Source organism: Homo sapiens, chromosome 17, assembly GCF_000001405.40.
Source record: "Homo sapiens chromosome 17, GRCh38.p14 Primary Assembly".
NCBI classification, from domain to species: Eukaryota; Metazoa; Chordata; class Mammalia; order Primates; family Hominidae; genus Homo; species Homo sapiens.
The window spans coordinates 21,339,137-21,361,040 of NC_000017.11; the positions used below are offsets into that span (position 1 = coordinate 21,339,137).

Consider the following 21,904-nt stretch of genomic DNA (forward strand, 5'->3'; position numbering starts at 1 on the left):
TGCTCCCTCCCCTCTGCCACCATCCAGGGCACAGCTGGCTTCCTGGGCAAAGGAGAAGCCTCCCTCCCTGTGGCTCCGTCTCGGGGAAGAGGCTGATGCTGGCTGGCCCTTTTACACTTTCTGGTGGGGGCCAGGCTGCCAGCTGGATCAACGAACAGCCAGTGCAAAAATGTCAGGAGCAATTAGAAGGTACCCGTGGTCTGAGCTTTATCTGCAACAATACGTCTTTATTAATGAGGCTTTTAATGATGCAACCAAGAGTGCTGGCAGAAACGGTCACAGCTACCCATCCTCTGGGGTTGCGCTTTTTTTTTTTTGAGACGGAGTCTCCCTCTGTTGCCCAGGCTGGAGTGCAGTGGCGCAATCTCGGCTCACTGCAACCCCCGCCTCCCATGTTCAAGTGATTCTCCTGCCTCAGCCTCCTGAGTAGCTGGGATTACAGGCATGCGCCACCACACCAAGCTAATATTTTTGTATTTTTAGTAGAGACGGGTTTTCACCATGTTGGCCAGGCTGGTCTCAAACTCCTGACTTCAGGTGATCCACCCACATCGGCCTCCCAAAGTGCTGGGGTTACAGGCGTGAGCCACTGTGCCCGGCCTGGGCACGTACTTTTTTGTGTGTGTGTGTGTGGGGTGGGGGCAATGTCTTGCTCTGTTACCAGGCTGGAGTGCAGTAGCATGATCTCGGCTTACTGCCACCTCCGGCTCCCGGATTCAAGCCATTCTCCTCCCTCAGCCACCCGAGTAGCTGGGATTATAGGCACCCATCACCACGCCCAGCTAATTTTTGTATTTTCAGTAGAGATGGGGTTTCACCATGTTGGCCAGGATGGTCTTGAACTTCTGACCTCGTGATCCGCCCGCCTCAGCCTCCCAAAGTGCTGGGATTACAGGCGTGAGCCACTGCGCCCAGCTGGGTGTGTACTTTTAATTCACTGCTGCAGCCCCTGATGGAGATGAGGCCTTGAGTTCTGCCCCCTTGAAAGCTCAATCTCCTCCCTGTGAAATGGGGTTATGGTGTGTATCAGTTAGGTATTGTGCCATAACAAACAGCTCCTAAACTCAGGGGTAGAAAACAACAACAATTTTAATTAGCTCACGGTTGTTTGTTGGGCTCAGCTGCTCTCAGCCACTTGGTCACTGTCTGTGGCCTCAGCTGGGACATGTGGGCCTGGTGATTTAGGGGCCCTCTCACTCCCCAGTGGGCTAGTCCTGGCTGGGTCATAGGTGGCAGAGGAGTCCCCAGCACAAGAGTGGAAGGGGCAAGGCCCCTTGACACCTAGTCTCAGAACTGGCACAGCATTGCTCTGCCTTCTACTGGCATGGCAATCACATGACTTGAGGGAGGGGAGACAGAGTCCTTTCTTCGTGGAAGTTGCTGCAAATAATTTGCAGCCGTATTTGCAATTTAGATGTAGTGAAATCAATCTTGAGTTATATCAATAACGTTTTCTGAGCACCGCCCCTTCCCCTGGCTCTGATATGCAGGCCTTATGCTGGGTAGTGCTGGGACCACAGGGAGAAATCTGACTTGGTGTCTCCTTCCCAGGAGCTCTGATGGAGGACACAGACACAGTCAGACAGGAGCACATACAAGGTGCTAGAAGCCAATGGAAAGTTTGGCTTAACAGACAAAAGGGTTGGCCGGGCGCAGTGGCTCATGCCTGTAATCCCAGCACTTTGGGAGGCCAAAATGGGCAGATCACCTGAGGTCAGGAGGTCCAGACCAGCCTGGCCAAGATGGTGAAACACTGTCTTTACTAAAAATACAAAAATTAGCCGGGTGTGGTGGTGGCTGCCTGTAATCCCAGCTACTTAAGAGGCTGAGGCAGGAGAATCGCTGAACACAGAAGGCAGAGATTGCAGTGAGCCAAGATCGCGCCACTGCACTCCAGCCTGGGCGACAAGAGTGAGACTCCATCTCCAAAAAAAAAAAGAGGTCATGGGGGTCACGGGGTGGTATGTATGTGGGGAATAAACTCTAAAGGGGTTGTGAAGTGTCCTGTGGCTGCAGGGGACTGGAGCTACCCTTGATTCTGCACTGATTCTTTCCCAGTGGTGTTCATGATGGTCTTGTCAGCTTTGTGTTGTTTGCTAAGGCTCAGAGTTGGTGAGGTTATGCAGCCTAACAAGCTCTCAGATTGGGATCCAAGTATACCTGGCCTTTGGCATCTGTCTTGAGCCAACTGGCTTTGACCCTGATGGACTCAGTAAGTGAGACACTCCCAAGTGAGCCAATGAGGCTCAGGCCCCAACACGGAGGTGTGTGTGTGCAGGTGAGCTTGGGGAGGCAGGTGGCTGAGGCTTGGGCACAGAGGCTGGACCAGACACAAATGCCTAAAGGGTTTCCAGGGGATACATTCTGGGATCCAGAGTCAGGACCTACTTTGTGGGAACCACTTGTTCCCTAGCCCCTGTTCTGCCCTGGCTTTGCCGCCCAGGGCTCACGACCTTTCTTTCCCTTCTGATGTGTTTGTCGCATGTCAGTCTTGCTGGGAAGAAAACAAAGGAGATGCAGCCTTCAGCTTTTCCTTGTCACCTGGAGAGGAAGCCTCCAATGTCTTCCAGGGTGGGGCCTGCCCCAGAGGAAGCCACAGACACTGTGGGTGTCTTCTGGATGGCAGGAGTGACAATGGCAGCAGCAGCAGTCACAGGGACAGCAACGTTTGCCAGGCACTGTCCTGGCCTTGCCTCTTTGAATCCTCATCATGTCCCCAAATAGGTGTTATTAAGCCTGTTTCACAGATGAGGAAATCAAGGCATGGAAAGGTGAAGTGGATTGCCCAGATCACACAATGAGTAAAGATGCAGCCCTGGGAATGTCCGATGCCAGCAGCCCTGCTGTCTTCAGCAAGTTGGCAGCCTCAGGAGCCAGTGGGTACCAGGCTCAGGAGCCCAGTGGGTACCAGGCTAACTGCTTTGTCTATGTCATGGCCCTGAATCTCCACAACCACCCCACCTACGGCTGCTATCACCTAAGGTCTTGGAGATGGGGAAACTAGGGCACAGAGAGGCAAAGCAACCTGCCCAAGGTCACACAGCAGGTAGGCAGCAGAGCCAGGAATGGGTCACAGCAGTTGGGACTCTGAAGAGTCCTCGTTCTTAGCTGCTGGGCTGGGAACCCTCTGGGCTCCAGGCCCTGCCGGGAGAGCGGGGCTGTAAGAGGCCAGTGTGGGCATCTTTGGGATGGTCCCTGTGAGAAAGTTCACTCTCTGAATCTTTGCTTCCTTGTGGTCTCTTCTGATGTGGCCAGAGGGAAGAGCAGAGACGCCATGGAGGTAGGCTCGGCAGGTGGAAGGCTGTGGGGAGGAACAGAGGGAGGCTGACCGGGATGCAGCTCTCTCCACTCTGGGAGGCCTTGAGCTCCTGCAGCTGCCTTGGGCTCTGGGCACAGGCCACCTCCTGGGCCTCTCTGGGAACCTGGATGTTTGGACACCCCCATCCTCTGGTCAGGGGTCTTAGGGAGTACTCACTTTACAGCAGCAACAGCAATAGCAATAATAACAGCGTGGCTGCCACTTCCTGAGCACTTACTAAGTGCCAGGCACTGCCCTAGGAGCTTACTCCTGGGAGGCAGGGGCCGTTCCCATTTCCATTTTACAGGGGAGAAAACAGAAGCACAGAGAGGGTGAAAGACTCACTTTCTAGGCCAGCAAGTAGAAGGGCCAGGGATTAGACTCTATGCACCTGGACCCTTCACTGCTAGGGAAACCAAGGCCAGAGAGAGGAAAGGGCCCACCCTGATGCCCCAGCACTGGAATAGAAGAGCCAGGATCAGAAATGCCAGGTGCCACCGAGGACAGAGGAATGAAGGTGGGGTCCCACGTCCCGTGCATGTTCCCTTAGCTCCCTGGGCCTCTGTTTCTCTGTCTGTAAAGTAGAGATGCTAACGGCACCTGCCCCAGATAATGGGTTTGAAGATTAATTGTTAATGCACACAAAGCACTTAGGAGACAGCCTGCATGCAGTAGGTGCCTGGTGCAGCCGCTGTCACCACTCTGCTGGGGCCCTGGGGCTGTAGTGCTGGCACTGGGTCTCTGGCGAGGCAGTGGGCAGCTGGGACATCCCCACAGTTTACAAGAGATAGCCTTGAGGTAGGACCCGCTCACCCAAGTCCGGCAGAGAGGACAGCCAGGCTTACATGACTGACTGCTCGGCGTCTACCCACACACCAACCTGGTGTCCCCTCACTGAGCTCCCTGGCCTGGTTGCTCATTGCGTGGGCCTCAGCCAAGGCTGGCCAGCCTGGCAGGATGAGGCATGTGGCTCGAACCCTTGGGGATGCCCCCTTGGTGGCAGGGAGGGCCTGCCCAGAAGGGACTCTCTGTTTATGGGTGTCACTGGCCAAGAAGCTGGCAGTGCTGACAAATCTCGTGTGGTCCTCATGCTGTGCAGGGCTTGTTCTCAATGCTTTATGCCTAACTGACAGGGCAGGGAACAGCAGCAGCCCATTCTGCAGATGGCAAAACTGAGCTGAGAGGCAAAGTTCCACAGCTGGTGAGCCACAGGGACCCAGAGGCTGCACCTTGACCACCACCTAGTAAGTGGGGTACTTTCATTATTATGAGTTAATTACTGGGGAAACAGGCACAGAGAGGTGAAGTGTCTTGCCCAGGGCTGCTCAGATGGGAAGGGGTAGAGCTGGGGTTGGAAGCCAGGTTCCCCAGCCAGAGGCTGCAGAGGTCCCCTTGCCACCCTCAGCGTAGCCATGCCCCCAGACCCCCCTGTGGCCCTGCCTGTCGGCTCACCTGGTCCTTCAGCATTCACCCCAGGCCCAGGCTGCTGTGTGCAGTCTCTGATGGGACAATGATCTTCCCAGGCCTCAGGGTGCCCATCTAAGAAATGGCCTTGAAGCCCCAGTCTTGGGGAATGGGGGTCTGCAGGTGGCCCACGTGCTGCCTGGGCTCCCTGATGCCCTCCTGTCTCAGCTGCATCCTTCTGGGCCTGATCTTGGAAGCATAACGGGGCTGCCAGGGCCCTGCGGGAGGCCCCTTGCAGCCTCACCTGCCGCCTCTGGAAATGCACGCAGCCCTGTGGGAGTGGGAGGCCCTGCCCACCCTCTGCGTCCTCGCCTCGCCCTGCTGTCCTCCCGAGCTGAGTTAGGGATTCGGGGTGCATTCTGCCCTCCCTCTCCCTCCTCGGGCCCTTTTCCTCCCTTTGAACTGTCTGTCTGTCTCGCTGCCGAGGAGGAAGCTATTCATAGCCAAGGTGATGCAAAATTCATCAAGTGTGGCTGCTGGGGCTGAGGCTGCCCCTGTGCGTGGCCAGCGCACCCCGACCACTCAGCACTCTTCCTCAGCAGGTGCGAGTGAGTGTGTGACTCTTTGTGAGAATGTGAGTGTGTGTAAGTGTGTAACTGTGATTGTGTAACTATGAGTATGTGTGACTCTGTGTGTGATTCTGTGTCTCTGTGTGAGTGTGTGACTCTCAGTGTGTGTGAGTGAGTTTGTGAGTGTGCGAGCGAGTGTGGGGGCACCTCCTCGGTCCTCTCCCGAGCTGCCTCTCTCCTGGCCTCTCCTCTGGGTCTCCACTCCGGACACCGAGCTCAGCACAGCTTCTTAGGAGGGAGCAGAGCTGGTGGCATTAGCCCATGTACTCTTCACGTTCTGGCCAATTCTGGGCAGGGCTTCTTTCTCCCCTTACCTGGATAACAGTTTGTTGTTCTAATTCTCAACAGTGAGAATTAGACACAACAGTGGTCATACCTCTGGAGCCCACACCATGAGCCAGGCGTTGTTCTCACAGACTCATTCCATCTTCACAATACCCTACGGGGTAGTGGCGATTACTACCTGAATTTTACAGGTGGGTAAACTGAGGCACGGAAAGGCTGGCTAGGGCAGCTGGGGCCTGAGGGTGGAGGGCTGGGAGGTGGAAGAGCTGGGATTTGAACCCCTGTCTGTCAGCTTAATCACCACTGCTTACCCAATGCACCATTCTGCCTCCCTCTCCATTGGTCCTGTGGGTAGATCCATAGATTGATTGATTGATTGTCTTCCCCAGAGACTCCAGGTGCAGAAAGATTCTGGTGCTGGAAGCTTCCTAGAGGACTGGTCTCTATCCCCTTCCCAGAGGTAGGTGAGGACCAGGGAGGAGACATGAACTAGCCAGGGAGGGAGGGCCGACCCCACCTGACTCCCCACTCTGGCTCTGCTCTTGGCCACTGCTGGGGCTGTGGCCACAGGCATGGCCTGGGTTGGCCCGGCACCTCCCCTGGCAGGGCAGCCAGCCTGAGCCGCATGGGCCGCCCTGCAGAAGCATGGTCTGGGGATGGTAATGAACACAGCAAATGTTTCACTTGCTCTGCTTCTGGGCCCCCGTGCTCAGCGCTCCTCCCTCACAGCAGCCCCGGGGGCATGGGTGTCCTTTTCCTCCCCAGCAGGTCCGGATCCAGAGCCCTGCCTCTCAGCCTTGTCTCTGCGTGGGCTGCTGTTTCTCCTGTGTCCCTGGTTGGGGATTCCCCCGTTTTTATTGAGGTAAAATTCATGTAAGGTAAAATGGCCCTTCTTTTTTTTTTTTTTTTTTTTTTGAGACAGAGTCTTGCTCTGTTGCACAAGCTGGAGTGCAGTGGCGCAGTCTCAGCTGTCTGCAACCTCTGCCTCCTGGGCTCAAGCGATTCTCCTGCCTCAGCCTCCCGAGTAGCTGGGATTACAGGCAAGCTCCACCACCCCCGGCTAATTTTTGTATTTTTAGTAGAGACAGGGTTTCACCATGTTGCCCAGGCTAGTCTTGAACTCCTGACCTCAGGTGATCCACCTGCCTTGGCCTCCCAAAGTGCTGGGATTACAGGCGTGAGCCACCGCGCCCAGCCAGAAATTGCACTTCTTAAAGTGTACAAATTAAGTGGCATTCTGCTCACGATGTTTTGCCGTCATCACAACTCTCTAGTTCCAAAACGTTTCCATGGCTCCAAAAGAAGATCCCGTGAAAATGCGGCACACTCACTCCCCGTGTGCCCTCCCCCGAGCCCCTGGAAGCCTCTGAGCTGCTTTCTGTCTGTATGGGTTTGCCAGTTCTGGGCATTTCATATGAATGGAACCCTAAGCATTTGTCCTTCTGTGCCCTCAAAGTCTGTGCATGTTGTACCAGTGCCGGAATGCCACCCTCTTCATGTCATGGATGAAAGACATTCCATTGTGTGGACACACTTGGTGTGTTCATTCATCTGTGGGTGGACTCAGGGCTGTTTCCACCTCTTGGCTACTGTGAACAGCATTGTTATCAGCATTCATGTACAAGCTTTGTCTGAACACCTGTTTTGATGCTTTTGGGTAGAGGCCCAGAAGCGGAATGGCTGAGTTGCTGTCCCTGGTGTTTAATGGTTTGTTTTCTTGCTGTCCAAGGCCTTAACAACAGTCCTCATGGTCTCATCCTGTCTGTGTCTTCCCTCTGGGCTCCCTACCTGCCCATCGGTCCAATCCAAGGCTGCTTTTTACTCCTCCCTCCCTAAAAACCAGGAGCTCCAGCCAGGGACCCAGGACCCCAAGGGACAGGCTCCAGATGAGGAAATCAAGGTTCTCAGGGGAAAAGGGTTTCACCCCACAAGTTGGAGTGGAGCTGGGATTTAACCTTAGGCCCCCTCCCCCCACCCCGGACCCCTAGGTCCTGGTTCTTTGTGCTGTAGCTGCATGTCCCACATGGGGATATCACTCCCAGAGAGAGCTGGCCACATTCCCAGCATCTTATCTGTTGGGCGTTGGCTTTCCTGGAAGATCCAGGGCAGGACGTGAGGCTCTTGTATGAAAACAAGCCTCAAGTGGACTCTGCAGCAGAATGCCAGCCTTGCATACACTTCCAGACTCAGTGAACGGCATCCAAGAAATGTCATGGCTTGAATGGGCAGGGACCCCCTGGGACTCCCTTGGCCCAGCCCTCGGCCTCAGCTGCTCCATGACTTAGAAGCGGGGAAGCTTTGAGATGGCCTCCTCAGGGTGCGCTGGGGAGGTCTCTTTGCCATGTTCAGAACTCGCCCTGGCCTGGACTCCCCTGGAGCTCCCTTGAGCTTCTCTGAACCCCTAGGTGACAGGGGAAGAAACCCTCAGATGGGTGATCACGGCCCTTCCCGCCCCCTGGTCCCAGGCATTGATGGGGCTGTGGCATTTGCTTTTCCTTCCTCCAGGGGTCCTGGCTCCACTCAGCTTCCCACTCCTCCTGCCCCCTCCAGAGCAGCTGCGTCCCTGCGATCAATATGGAGCTGATCAATCTATCTGTCCCTCTGCTTGGCTGAGGAAGCCAGCAATGATGGCCACCTTGGGACCCCATGAGTGCTCCTGAGACTGTGGCATGTATCACCTCCTCACTGCACAGGTGGGGAAATTGAGGCCTCCAGAGGGTCAGGGCTTCCCAAAGTTCCCAGCAAGTCTGTGGGGTGGGAAGGGCTGGAACCTGCTCAGCTGGCTTCTCTTTCAGACATCACGTCTGTGATGCATATGGTCCTGGGTGCCCTGTGTCCCCGTGGCCATGCCTCAGGGGTCCTGAAGTGCTAAACCATGAATTCATCAAATGTTGACTGAGTGTCTGCTCTGGGTTGGGCAGGCCCTGTGCATCCAGGGATGCCTAAGACAAGGACCCTGCCCTCACGACGGAGCTGATGTTCTCATCGGGAGCGGGACAACACTGAGATGTCAGGTGGTAGTGAGCACAATAAACCAGCGAAATGGGAAGGAAAAGGTCAGGGAAGACCTCCTGGAGGAGACATTTGAGCAGATGCCTGAAGACAGTGCGGGATGAGTCACAAGATGCCAGCAGGAAGAGCTTTCCAGGCAGGGAGCAGCAGTGCAAATGCCCTGTGGTTGGCATGTGCTTGGCACTTGAGAAAGTTGCTTCAGAGCTGGCAGAGCTCACAGGCCTGGCCCCTACTGTAGGCACTCAGCCTGGCCTCCATGGATTCATTCCACATACTTTAAACATTCCAACTAGGGGCCAGCATTTTCAAATCTAAGATTTGTTTCCATAAAAAGTCCTGATTTCCAGCCTTTCTTAAGAAATTGAAACCTAGAGTCAGGAGTGTCCACCCCTTTGGCCTGCCTTATCCACCCTCTTGCTTGAGTCCTGCAAGGGCTTGTGGCCCTGGCAAGAGGATGTGGTTGGGGCACAGATGGCACATGCGTTATCACAGGTTTCTGCTTCTTTATATTCTGTCTGGAGAAAAACACTGGTGATTGAAGCACGGTTGCCACCCAACGAGGCAGAACTGAAAGGTCACTGAACGGTCTTGACCACATTCTCCTGGTTGTCACCAGTTGCTGGCAGTTTGCAGCAATCTCTCCACCTTTGGAAAGTCGGGGGTCGGGGGGCGTCCACCGCCCCTTGCTGTAGCTGTGCCACCCCTAACTGAAATCTCGGGCAGGTCACTTCGTCACTTGGTCAAGGTCCTCCATGTTTCTGTGCCTCAGTTTCCTTGTCTGGAGAATGGGGGAAATGAACACTGGGCTGTCTAGCTTAGGACAGAAACAAGAGCAGTCAGGGGCTTTGATGCTTTAGGGCTAAACATCTTACTCATTTTCAAGTTATGGTAAGAGAGAGAATGTTTGGGGACGTGCCAGCCCTCAGATTTCAGCCAAACCCAAGCTGGCATTCAGAGCCTCTGAGGTCTCGGCATGGACACACCCAGTGTCCATCCCTTCCTTCTCCTTCCCCTCTGGGGCCCCAGCCACCTGGCTTTATCTCCCACTCTGCACCCACTCACTGTGCGACTCATGCTTTTGAGCACCTGTTGTAGACCAGGCCCCTGCTAGGATGAGTGGCAGGCTGTGGTTTGAGCAGGCCCCTGGGGACGGGCCTGCTGCAGGCCTAGCTGTGCTCCCATCCTAGCCTGTCAGGTGGGCCCCATCCCACCCCCATGGGCCCCTGCTCTGACCCTCAGGTCATTTCCCAGTATCCTTTGCCCTCAGGCTTCTGCGCTTGGTGGTGGTGGGGGAAGGGGGCACGTCTCTCCTTATGTCTCTCCTCGGATGGCCTCCTAGCAGCGGCCACCTGCCCCCACCAGCCCCATGGCTCCAGACACCCCTGCCGAGGCTCCAGCTCCCTTCGCATGAACACAGCCCCTGGGACTGGTGACCCTGTTGCTTTCTTCCCTGCCTCCAGCCTGGGATGGCGGCTTCCTGCTGATTTCAATCCTGGATTCCTCCTCATCCCGTTTAGCTCTCAGAGCCTTTATCACAGTGTGACCAGCTCCCTAGACGCAATTCTCTCTGTTGGAGAGAACTGGAGGGCTTCTTTTTCCTGGCTGGATCCTGCCTGATTCCGTGGCCATGTCCTGACTGCACAGATCAGAGTGGTCTGGCTGTGGGCCTCTTTCCTTGCCTGAATCATGAGCTTCCTGAGGACGAGGACTGATGGGCTTCTTCCACAGTAACAGACTCAGCTTCGAGGAGGCCTCAGTGATGTCACACCTCATGATGTCAGCTGATACCACTTCTGCAGCAGGCACAGCCAGGGCCAGTCAGGCAGCTCCAGGGCATGAAGGGTCAGTCCCTACCCCCAGCCCTGAGCATCACCTAGTGGCAGGGGAGGCCAAGAGGGAGACCCCTGGCCTGCAGTCTCCAGGGCAGAGAATCAGCCCAGTCAGCAGGGCCTGCTATGATCTCTCTCTTGCCCTCTCAGTACTGGCTGAGGAGGGGCCTGGACCCCAGACCCAGGACTCCTCTTCCTTCTTGTTCCCACAGGCTTGGGGCCCTCACAGTCGCTCTGGGCTGACTTACTCTCAAGTCCAGCCCGTTCCTAGGACCAGGTGTTTGGAGCTCAGAGGGTTTGTTTTATGGCCTTGACTCTCATCAGGGCCTGTGGCAGAGCCCAGCTTCCCCTACTGAAGCCTCTTACACAGCTGGACACAGACCCAGCTACACAAGGGTGCACAGGGACACAGACACAACTACACACAGATATGTACATGTGCGCACAGACACACATGGGTATGCACAACACAGACACACAGGGACACATACAGTCACACATGAGTACACACAGACGCGGACACATGTGCACACATGGACACACATGATCACATACAGACACACAGGGACATACAATCACACATCAGTACACACAGACACACATGGACACACAGGCACACACATACAGACACATCTGCATAGGCACACACACATATACATGGACACACAAATATAGATAATAGAGACATACATATCTATACCTGCATAGATACAGAGACACAGACATGCAAATACAGATACGCCCAGACACACACACGCAGCCTGGGGCTGTGATGGGGTAATGCCGGGTGCCTGGTGTCCTGGCCCAGCCTGGTGGGGCGGCAGGCCTGAGGGTGAGTCCCTTCACCCCATTAGCGATGCATTTTCAGAAATACAGAGGCAGCAAGAAGAGGCCAAAGCCTTGGCCAGCATCCGGGTGGTTTCAGGTGACATCTGTCATACGGAGAAACACGCCTCACGGTTCTCCTCCACCTCCCCGATGGCTGCCCTGCAGCTCACAGGCCCTCCCAGACGCCCTTTCCTTTTCGCACCATCAGTGTCTCCGCCTTTCCACACCATCAGTATCTCCGGGTTGAGGCTGTTGAGGCTGCAGGCCCCCAGGCACGTGCCAGATGCGGACGCTGTGGGCATTTCCGCTCAGCTGCAAGAACAGCGCCACTGAGGCATCCAGAGGCTGCAACCTCCACCAGCAACAGTCACGTCCGTGGTGTTTGTGCTTCACTACAAGTCCCTGGCCAGCAGGCTGGCACGTTTCATTTTCATTTTCGTGGGCACTGTGCACGGCCCCATGTTCACAGGAATCCAGGCACGGAGTGGACGTCCCCTCCCTGCCGCATCCCCAGCCTCTCGGTTCTCTCCAGAGGTCAGCGCTGGATTGTTTGTGTGTCCTGCTGGAGACTCCCGTACACACAGCATTGCTATGACATCTTTTTTGTGGTTCTTTTTTGTTTTGTTGGTTTTTTGGTTTTGGTTTTTTTGAGACAGAGTCTCACTTTGATACCCAGGCTGGAGTGCAGTGGTGCCATCACAGCTCACTGCAGCCTCAAACTCCAGGGCTCAAGGGATCCTCCCGACTCAGCCTCCTAAGTTGCTAGGACTACAAGCATTAGCCACCACGTCCAGCTAATTAAATTTTTTTTTTTTTTGTATAGACAGGGTCTTCCTATATTACCCATGCTGGTCTCGAACTCCTGGGCTCAATCAATCCTCCTGCCTTGGCCTCCTGTAGTGCTTGGGATTACAGGCTTGAGCCTCTGTGACTGGGCCCTTTTTTGTGGTTCTTATTTTGAACAGAAAAGGTAGCCTGTGTGGACACTGCTCTGCACCCTTGGTTTTGCAAACCTGATGCATTGGGGAAGTGTCTCATGTGGTGACAATGGAGCTGCCTCTTCTTTTTTCCTGGCTGTCTCCCCTTCAACAGTGTGGATGTCCCCACACATTATGCACCCCGCCCCATGGTGGCATCCTGGTTATGCAGAGAGGCTGCAGTCAGCACCCTTGCTCAGGGACCTGGTTATCTGTGAGTCAAAGTCATCAGTAGGTCTGGGGACACTCCCCATGCCACTCTGGGGTCTTTGACAACCTGATGGGTGAAAAATGGCACCTCCAGTTAGATTGAATTTGGTTTACACTTTTAAGAGTGAGCAGTATGGTTTTGGGGGGTGGAGAGCAGGGCCCCCAGGCCAGTGGTCAGTTGTTGCAGGGGGTGGGACAGCACTAACCACGCCCAGGGTGGGTGGGGCCCCTTGCCCCCCAGGTTGGTGTTGAGGACAGGCAAAGCTTCCTGAAAGAGCTTCTTCACTGGGCCATGGGGCGGGTGAAGGATTTCCTCAGGGGAGGAAGAGAGAGAGGGTTCCAGGCAATGGAACAGCACAGGCAAAGGCAGGGCTCCCTGAAAGTCTGCCTGAAAGTCAGGGTGGGTTTAGGGAGCAGAGGGTTGCCAACTTGGTGGGAGGGGACATGGACAGGCCATCTTGCCCAGAGCCCCAGTTTGTCTTCTGGGCACTGGGGAGCCAAGTCAGGAGAGGGAGGAGGGAGGGCCAAGGGCAGGGTCTTCTTCATCCGGGGGAGGAAGAGACAAGCAGAGGCAACCCTAATAAACGAGGCCTGTCCCCCCAGCAAATAATGAACCCGGATGGAGCAGAGGCCGATGTTTTATTCATGGCCGGCACAGGGCAATCAATTACCCACCCAGCCGCTGCCCGGCACTGCCTCCATCATCCTGCCATCCTGCGCTATTTTGGGCTTGGGCTGGGCCTCGCCTCCCCTGTCATCCAGGCCTTCTCCCCGCCTGGGCGGGGTGCGCTCATCCTGGCTCAGGGTGACAGGCCAGAGGGGCAGAGAAGCCACGGGTCCAATCTCACTGAGTATTTGGGTAAACTGAGGCTCAGCGAGGTGCAATGATGTGACAGGCTCCCACGGTTTCGGGGAACTGGGCTTTCATTTCCCCCAGTGCAGCCCCTAGGCCGGTGGTCGGGGGAGGATTCTTGTTCCCATTTCACAGAAGGGGATGTGGAGGACCTCAGGTGTCAGAGGACGGGCCCCAGATCTTTGTGCCCACAGAGCAGCCTCTGGGAAATGGTGGCAGCCTTCCTGGATTTCCGGCAGGGTGAGCTACCTCGAACCCCAGAACCTCAGGGGTCCTCAGAGAGGGGGAGGAAATTCACCTGAGGCTCACAGCATGGCCCTGGCGGGGAGGGGAGAGGCGGTGGGATGAGCAAGAGTTGATTTATTGTGACTGTGCTTGTGACATCTAGGCTGCTGAGTTGCTGGGCCTGGCTCATTCTCGCCAAGGACAAGCCCACCAGCTCTGCCGCCCAGTGTCCCTCTCCCTGTTTGGCCTCTGCAGGGGGTGAGACAAACCTGAGGGCAGCAGGAGTCCACACAGCCATCTGTTTCTGGGGCCTGCAGGCTTCTCAAAGCGGGGATTCTCTGGCTCCTGGGGTGGCTGAGCGCCCACCATGCTCCAAACTCTGGGGCTCTCCAGCAAGCCGTTCCTGGCATCAGACTCCAGCCCCGAGTCTCCCCACTGTGAGAGGAACATGTCCTAGAGCTGGTGTGGGAAGAGCATGCCCGGCTCGTGTGGTCACCTCAGCCCTGCATCCAATTTGATTTCCCTCCATCCCATTTTCCACGTACGCACTGGCACATTTGTGCCACCACATGGCCCAGTGATCGCATACACAGGTGTGTACACCCAAGAGAAATGAAGACAGGCGTCTAAACAAGCACCACCACAGCCATGTTCACACAGGGCTGCTCACTGTCGCCAAAGGTGGAGATATCCTAACATCCGTCACCTGATGGACGCAAAGTGAAACACGGTCTGTCCACACAGCAGAGCATCATGCAATCATCACAAGGAAGGACATGCTGGTCTATGTTGCAACACGGATGAGCCTCACAGCATCATGTTGAGTGAAAGCAGCCAGGCGCAAGAGCGTGCATGCAGGATTTCATTCACAGGAAACACCAGTGGACAACTATTCTCAAATTCATTCATTCCACCAGGTCACTGAGTGCCTACTGTGTGCCAGGCACTGTGCTGGGCACTGGGGGTAAGCAGGTCCCAGAACATCCGTGTCCCAGGGGAGCAACATTCTAGTGGAGAAGACAAAGGCAAAAGTGCCAGCGTGTTCGCAGAGAAATTCACAGAGACAGAAAGCAGATTGGTGGTTGCCAGGGGCTGAAGGGAGGGGAAATGGGGACAGGGTTTTCTGTTGCGGTGATGAAAATGTGTTGGAACTAGATAAAGGTGGTGGTTGCACAACATTATGAGTATAATAAATTCCACTAAATGATTCATTTTAAAAAATACATTTTAAAAATAGAGACAGAATATTGTTATGTTGCTTAGGCTGGTCCCGAACTCCTGGCTTCAAGCAATCCTCCTGCCTCGGCCTCCTGAAGTACTGAGATTATAGGCATGAGCCACTGCACCTGGCCTGTTCACTTTGAAATGGTTAATTTTACATTATGTAAATAGTACCTTAATTAAAAAAAATAAACCTGCCCGGCACGGTGGCTCACGCCTGTAATCCCAGCACTTTGGGAGGCTGAGGTGGGCAGATCACAAGGTCTGGAGTTCGAGATCAGCCTAGCCAATATGGTGAAACCCTGTCTCTACTGAAAATACAAAAATTAGCTGGTTGTGGTGGCACACGCCTGTAGTCCCAGCTACTTGGGAGGCTGAGGCAGAAGAATCGCTTGAACTCGGTAGGCAGAGGCTGCAGTGAGCCAAGATTGCACCACTGCACTCCAGCCTGGCGACAGAGCGAGACTCCATCTCAAAAACAAACAAACAAACAAAACAACAACAAAAATAAACCCATCAGAGAGACCATCTTGCCCCTGCTTAAAACCTTCCAGCTGTTCCCCATAGAACAAAAATATAAAGTTCAAGTCTTGTGCTGTGGCTCTCAGGGTCCCGTGATCTGGCTTAGCCTCTCCCTGACTCGGGGCCAGCGCTCTGTTTCTCTGGGCTCTCTGTGTGAGTGGCCATGCTCTGTCCTGCCTCCAAGCCTTGTGCCTGCTGACCACCCCCACTCAGAATGGAACACTCTTTTTCCATCTCTGCACCAGTTTTCACGTCTCCTGTCAAACATCCCTCTTTGGAGAGGCCCTCACTGACCTCCCTGGCTAAGTAGCCGCTCACGCCTCATTCGCCACCCTGCTACCCTGACCTTCATACCTTGACCTCTGCCTGAAACTGCCTCCTCTGAAGTTTACGCATCTCCATTTTTGTTGTCTGTCTCCTGCACAAGAAGATCAGCTGCACAAGAACAGGGGCTTTTGTCTCTTTTGTGCCCTGTTATGTCTCCAATGCCCAGATCGGGGACTGGCCCAGAGCAGGTGTTCAGCAAAGGAATGAATGAATGAATGAATGAATGAATGGAAGTTGGCTCCCATCTTTCCAGCCCTGCCTCCAACACCTCCAGCGAGACTGTGGTTCCTCTTCTCACAGTGGATTCCCACCCCCAAGCCGAGCCCAGGGCCCCTCGCGGGCATTTGGTGAAGTTATGGCCGTGTCCTGTTGCCCTTGCGTTAATGCTGCAGTGTCTGGCCTGGTTTCCCAGTTCTTTCCCTTCCCCAGCCGGCCCAGCTGTCAATTCCCACCACCCTCAACCCCCATCACCAATGCCGGTGCTTGCGCCCACCACAGACAGGTCCCACTTCCAGGCCCTGTGCCTACCTGAGGCCACTGTGAGGCATGTGGTGAGACTGACCTTGCCGGCAGGATTTGAGGGGAGCCAAGAAGCCAGCTTGGGAGGCATGACAACCGCAGTCATGGATGTTGCCACGAGGACCTGCATGTCCTTCACTATTATCCCTCTTGACCCCTGGTTGGGTGATAACTGACCTTATTTTTCAGATGACAAAATTGAGGCTCAGGAAAGTTAAGATTGTGCTCCAAGGTCACAGAGCAGGGAAGGGACGAGCTGCAATGGCTGCTGCACTTCCCTTATGGTAATAGCCTTATTATTCCTGTTGCTGCTGCTGGGTCCTGGGCTCCATCTCCAGGAGCCTTTCCCCTCGGCCCCTCCCACCCCTCCAGAGCCTCAGGCCACTCTTGCTGAATAAGGGTCTAGCCATTTACTGACCTGGGGCTGGTCCTCATCTGGAAAGCGGGATGGTGAGAGGCGGTAATGAGGGACCTGACACGTGGACGGGATCTGGGAAACGGCCGTAACAGGCCGTCCTTTCCTTTTCTCAGGGCTCCTGCCTGTGTGGAGAGATGATGGCTCCCCACCACTGCCACCTCCCCCACACCCCTGCCCACCCACGTCTCCCGCTCCCCGGGCTCACAGTCTGGGTAGAGGCTGTTTCAAACAGAAGACCAAGCATCTGCGGGAATCCAGACCAGACCCTAAGCCAGCTCCAGAGGGCTTCCTGGGGGAGAAGAGTTTTGACAAGAGTATCCAAGGCAGAAGAAACAGCCTGGGCAAAAGCCTGGAGGTGGGGAAATTGAGACCTCCTGGAGGCTGAGGAAGGCTGGAGGGAGGGAGGAGAACAAAGGGCCTTAACCAGCCATCAGGTGAGGGCAGCTAGGCCTTCCCCAGGGCCACATTATGACTTTCAAGCACCCAGGGCACTTTGGCCTAAATGAGTCCATTTATCCATAAAAAATAAAAACACTAAATACAAAAAATTAGCCGGGCGTGGTGGCGGGCACCTGTAGTCCCAGCTACTCGGGAGGCTGAGGCAGGAGAATGGTGTGAACCCAGGGGGCGGAGCTTGCAGTGAGCTGAGATTGCGCCACTGCACTCCAGCCTGGGCGGCAGAGTGAGACTCCATCTCAAACAAAACACAACAAAACAAAACAAAACAAAAACACTAAAAATATATTCTACGTCTTCACTGGAATAGAGAGAAATATAATTCGTTAGTCATCCACTCACCCATTCATCCCCTGTCCATCTTTCCGTTAGTCATCCACTCACCCATTCATGCCCTGCCCATCTATCTATCCCTTTGACTCCATTCACTCACCTCGCCAACCACCCACCCATCCATCCATCCATCCATCTATTCAGCTACGTTCCATTTATTCATTTACCCACTCACCCACTTATCCATCCATCCATCCCTCCATTCATCCATCCATCCATCCATTCATCCATTCATCCATCCATCCATTCATCCATCCATTCATCCATTCATCCAGCCACTTACCCACCCATGCATCCACCCATTCATTCATCCACCCACCCTTTCACCAATTCACCAATCCATCCATTCACCCACTCATTTATTCATCCATCAATTTATCCATCTACCCACCCACCCATCCATTCACCCATTCATCTATCTGTCCACTCACTCACACATCCATCCATCTTACCCACCCACCCATCCACTTATCCATTCATCTATCTATCCATTCATTCATCCACCCACCATTCATCTACCCATCCACTCAACCATGCACCTTCTCACCAATCCCCCACCCATCCATTCATCCATCAATTCATCCATCTATCTATACACCCACCCATCCACTCATCCATCCATCCATCTTTACATCCCTCTTAGCACTCCTGCTCACCCCATTCAATTGTCTGTTTCCCTGTAAATATACTCACCCGTCTGCCCACTCATCCATCTACTCATATTCCCTCTGTTTCCATTCTCCATTATTTACTATATCAGCCTCTGCAGTCATCTCTTTTCTCTGGAGATTTCTCTAGCATCTGATCCCGACCTTCCCATCATAAGCCCTCTCTTCACTTCCCATTGCTCACAGATACAAATCCAAACTTCAGACTTAGCTGGCTTTCAAGGCCCTGAAACTATTTTGTCTCTCCTCTCACTGCTCCCACCACGGATCCTGGAAGTTGTGTGGGCCCTGGGCACTGTGCCTACTGTGCCCTCCCTGGCTTTCCCTGCCAGCTGCGGCCTGTGCCTATGGGCTTGAGTCCAGAGAGGAGAAGTGAACCATGAACTTGGGAACAAGAGGGGAAAAGGTGAACAGGACCAGATTAATGCACCAGCCTCAGCTCCCCGCCTGTAATGAGGGGATGGAGTGCCGATGTCCTCCCCCACATTCTAGGCTGGTTTCTGGGCTCACTGAGCTGCCTTGAGGGCCAAGGTGGTGGGGATAATGGAGGGGGCTGATCACTCTTCCCTCTCTCCTGCCACTTACCCCTTAACAGCCTAGCCGATCTGGAACAGAAGGGAAGGGCCTGCTGTGGGAGGGGCAGCCCCATTAGCACTGTTTCTGGCCCCTAGGGAGCCAGGGGTCACCAGAGCCCAGCTGCAGGGCCATTAGCAGCCCATTAGCCCTGCCCCTCCTTCCCAGTCCCCACTCTGGCTCCATTCAGGACCTGCCCTTCACGGCAGAGCTTCTGCCCCTTCACCAACCCCTGCAGGCCTCAGAGGCCCCCTCCGAGGTCAACGTGTCAAGTTCCGGTCAGCCTGGGCAGGGCTGCAGCTGACCCTTGCAGAGCTGGGGAGGACAAAGGAAAGGGAACCCCTGCAGGTGTAAGTGGCTGGACCCTCTGAAAGGGCTTCATCCATCTCTGAGGCAGGTGGTAATGGCTAGTGGAGAGGTGTGTAAGCCATGGGGCCAGCGAGTCAGGTGCCTCTGTCGTCTTTGCCAAGAAGGGGTTGCATTGCTGATTTCTGACTCCCCTAGTGTATGTGAGTTGCTTTTTACGGAGGAGCTGTGCCCCCTCAGTCAATCAATCAACACACTTTTGCTTGCTGAGCTAACAAAGTATTGGACCTCGAGAGGGAGAGCCAAGACCTTAGGCTCTCCTGGTTACATAATCCATTCATTCACTAGCAGATATTCAGTGAGTGCTCACTGTATGCCAGGCCCTGGAGCACAGCAGCAAGAGACACTCCAGTAGAGGAGAGGACAGTAAACACAGAAAACAATCAGTGGGACGATTTCTGGAAGGAAAGGGCTGTGCAGGAGATGAAGCAGGCATCATGAGACAGGCATGGGGTGGCTGTTGTAGTCTGAGGGTTTGGGGAGGCCTCTTACAGGAGACCTTTGAGCTGAGCCTGGGTGGTGAGAAGGAGCCTACCAAGTGGAGGGCAAGGACTGAAGGTCACAGGCAGTGGGACAGCAAGTGCAAGGGTCCCCGAGATGGGGACAGAAGCTAGCAAGCCCTGGAGGCTGGGGGAGGGGGAGGGAGGTGGGAGGTGGCAGAGGGAGGTCATAGATTCTCACTGCTATGCCAAGCCTTGAGGGCTCAGGTCTGATTCCAGTCTCCCAGAACTTCCTTGGCTGTGCATGGGGCTCACAGGGGCAGCAGGGAGGCCTGCAGGGGGTGGCCACTGCCTGAGTCCTGGTGAGCAACCATGGGGGCTCCGACCTGGTGGAGGTAGCAAAGGAGGGACTTGCATCTGCTGAGGTCTGAGCAGCCAGGAGTCAGAATCTTGTGAACCTCAGAATCAGACTCTCAGCATTAGAATTAGAATTAGGAGCTCTTAGCCCTGACATTTGAGGCTGGCGGGAAGCTCAGTGGGGACCGCACAATCTGGGCTGAGCCACACCCTAAAGCCAGCTATCTCACCCGGAAAACATTCCAGGCTGTGAAGGGCTGGATCCAGCCTGACTCGTGCTAAGTGCTTCACACATGTACTATTTGTTCCTCATGAGGACCTGATGAGACAGATGCCATTCTTCTCCCCATTTCCTAGATGAAGTCACTTGTTCCAGGTCACTAAGGGAGGGATAGGGTCCTCCTTCCCCAGGGGCGCCTGACCTCTGGGTGGGGTCAGCGTGGGAAGGGGGAAGGCGTGGCAGAAAGAGAGTGTGCCTGGAACAGTATTTTTAGCGCTGCCTGCCCTGCGTGCGAGGGGAGGGGAATTAGAGATGGCTTTCAGGGCAGGAAGAGCATGAAGTGATGTCTTAATTGGGATCCTCAAGGAGAAAAACAGTGTTACAAGCGCTCAATTATTTTATAATGAGCCTGCGGTGTGCAGGGAGAGCCACAGACATTTTCGAAGCTGAAGTGTGCGCCTGCATGTGTGTGTGTATGTGTGTGCATATGTGTGTGTGTGCATGTGTGCACGTGCATGTGCCCACAGGTGTATGGTGCTGAAGCGGGACTGTGGCAGGGTGGGACGGGCTCTTTCTCCTGATTTTGAGCAGTGGGCCCCTCACTTGTGCTGCCTTCTGCCCCTCAAGCCTCTTGTGGTGCCCCCGCCCACCAAGTCGCTCCCACAATGAGCCACCAGTGAGAGAACTTCAGGTTTTGCTGGGCAGGAGGATGCTGGAGCCTCAACAGGCCCTCCAGGAAGGGGAGACCTTGGGGAATTTCCACTAAGCTTCAAGACCTTTCTCTTTGCTGAGTAGAAAGGGGACTGGTTGTGAGCATCATGCTGAGCACAGGGAGAGGGCTGTGCTGGGAAGGAAGGACCCACACTCAGCTCCATCGGGGCCAGGACCCAGCTGACCACCCTGCCACAGTTCCCCACAGCCCTCCTGATGACGCCCCAGCTCACCGGGGGAACTTCTGTGACCTGCCTGCTGCCCCATGATGACCCTGCCCCATGCTCATCCAGCCAGATTCCTGCCTCCAGGCCTTTGCCTATGCTTTGCCACCACCTTGTCTCTGTTCAGGGCTGAAAAGCCTTCTGTCTCTTCCTTCGTGGCCTGGTTCAACTGCTTCTTCCTCTTTAGCAAAGCCCTTGTGTTTAACCTCACCCCAGCAGGGAGTCCCCAGCACGGTCCCTGCGTAAATCAGCTCCTGCCAGGCCACTTGGTCAGCGCATCTCGTTAACGGAGGCTGGGCTAAACTTGAGGAATTCTGAAATGAAGGTTTCCACAGCAGTGGGGTAGAGATCAGACTCTTTCCCCTAGGTGCTTTGGGGAGAGCTCAGCCCCCCAACATAGTGACCCTGAGCTGAGGCAAAGCAGAACAGGACATTAGTGTTTCTATTTCACATTGAAAAGGTTAAATTTCAAACTAACTTTTGAAAACATGATTTTTGTCTTCACTGCTACAGATAGGAATGAAACAGTGGCTGGGAAATGGGAAGTGGACAGAGAAGCATTGCTGAAAGGGGCTTGGGAACTGGCCCCAGGGTCCTCCACTTCCCCATCTGTGAAATGGAGACTCTAATGATGATTGTCTTCCTGGTCCCCAGGCCAAGATGAGGCCTCCAGGGAGGGAGAAGCTCTCATTACTGAGGCTCAGCAGTTCCTGAGAGTGGCTGTAATGGCATTGCGGGGGTGGCAGGGGCAGCAGCTCAGTGTCTCTAGACAGGGTTGGGGGCCCCTTGGAGTCCTTCCCACTGCCCTCCCCAGCCTTAGGGACCAGGTATCTAGATGCAGCTGCTGGAGTGGATGGAAGGACTTCCTGACCTCCAGCAGGAGCGGAGGTCTCCAGCGCTGTCACCCGAGGCCCGTAGAGGCTGGGGGCTGCAGCTTGAGGCTGTCGGGGCCTCAGAGCTCTGGGTGGGGAGCATTATACAATTTAACAAGCTGGAGAG

At 54.8% G+C, this 21,904-nt stretch overlaps 7 annotated features.

Annotated features, from left to right (window-relative positions):
- Nucleotides 4,199-4,699: an enhancer, noted in NCBI's record as "H3K4me1 hESC enhancer chr17:21246647-21247147 (GRCh37/hg19 assembly coordinates)". NCBI's record gives its function as "activates a minimal SCP1, AML or CMV promoter by ChIP-STARR-seq in naive H9 embryonic stem cells {active_cell/tissue: H9 hESC(naive)}" and the evidence as "EXISTENCE:reporter gene assay evidence [ECO:0000049][PMID:30033119]".
- Nucleotides 6,214-6,771: an enhancer, noted in NCBI's record as "H3K4me1 hESC enhancer chr17:21248662-21249219 (GRCh37/hg19 assembly coordinates)". NCBI's record gives its function as "activates a minimal SCP1, AML or CMV promoter by ChIP-STARR-seq in primed H9 embryonic stem cells {active_cell/tissue: H9 hESC(primed)}" and the evidence as "EXISTENCE:reporter gene assay evidence [ECO:0000049][PMID:30033119]".
- Nucleotides 7,447-7,948: an enhancer, noted in NCBI's record as "H3K4me1 hESC enhancer chr17:21249895-21250396 (GRCh37/hg19 assembly coordinates)". NCBI's record gives its function as "activates a minimal SCP1, AML or CMV promoter by ChIP-STARR-seq in naive H9 embryonic stem cells {active_cell/tissue: H9 hESC(naive)}" and the evidence as "EXISTENCE:reporter gene assay evidence [ECO:0000049][PMID:30033119]".
- Nucleotides 7,949-8,448: an enhancer, noted in NCBI's record as "H3K4me1 hESC enhancer chr17:21250397-21250896 (GRCh37/hg19 assembly coordinates)". NCBI's record gives its function as "activates a minimal SCP1, AML or CMV promoter by ChIP-STARR-seq in naive H9 embryonic stem cells {active_cell/tissue: H9 hESC(naive)}" and the evidence as "EXISTENCE:reporter gene assay evidence [ECO:0000049][PMID:30033119]".
- Nucleotides 18,124-18,694: an enhancer, noted in NCBI's record as "NANOG-H3K4me1 hESC enhancer chr17:21260572-21261142 (GRCh37/hg19 assembly coordinates)". NCBI's record gives its function as "activates a minimal SCP1, AML or CMV promoter by ChIP-STARR-seq in naive H9 embryonic stem cells {active_cell/tissue: H9 hESC(naive)}" and the evidence as "EXISTENCE:reporter gene assay evidence [ECO:0000049][PMID:30033119]".
- Nucleotides 18,695-19,265: an enhancer, noted in NCBI's record as "NANOG-H3K4me1 hESC enhancer chr17:21261143-21261713 (GRCh37/hg19 assembly coordinates)". NCBI's record gives its function as "activates a minimal SCP1, AML or CMV promoter by ChIP-STARR-seq in naive H9 embryonic stem cells {active_cell/tissue: H9 hESC(naive)}" and the evidence as "EXISTENCE:reporter gene assay evidence [ECO:0000049][PMID:30033119]".
- Nucleotides 20,329-21,039: an enhancer, noted in NCBI's record as "H3K4me1 hESC enhancer chr17:21262777-21263487 (GRCh37/hg19 assembly coordinates)". NCBI's record gives its function as "activates a minimal SCP1, AML or CMV promoter by ChIP-STARR-seq in naive H9 embryonic stem cells {active_cell/tissue: H9 hESC(naive)}" and the evidence as "EXISTENCE:reporter gene assay evidence [ECO:0000049][PMID:30033119]".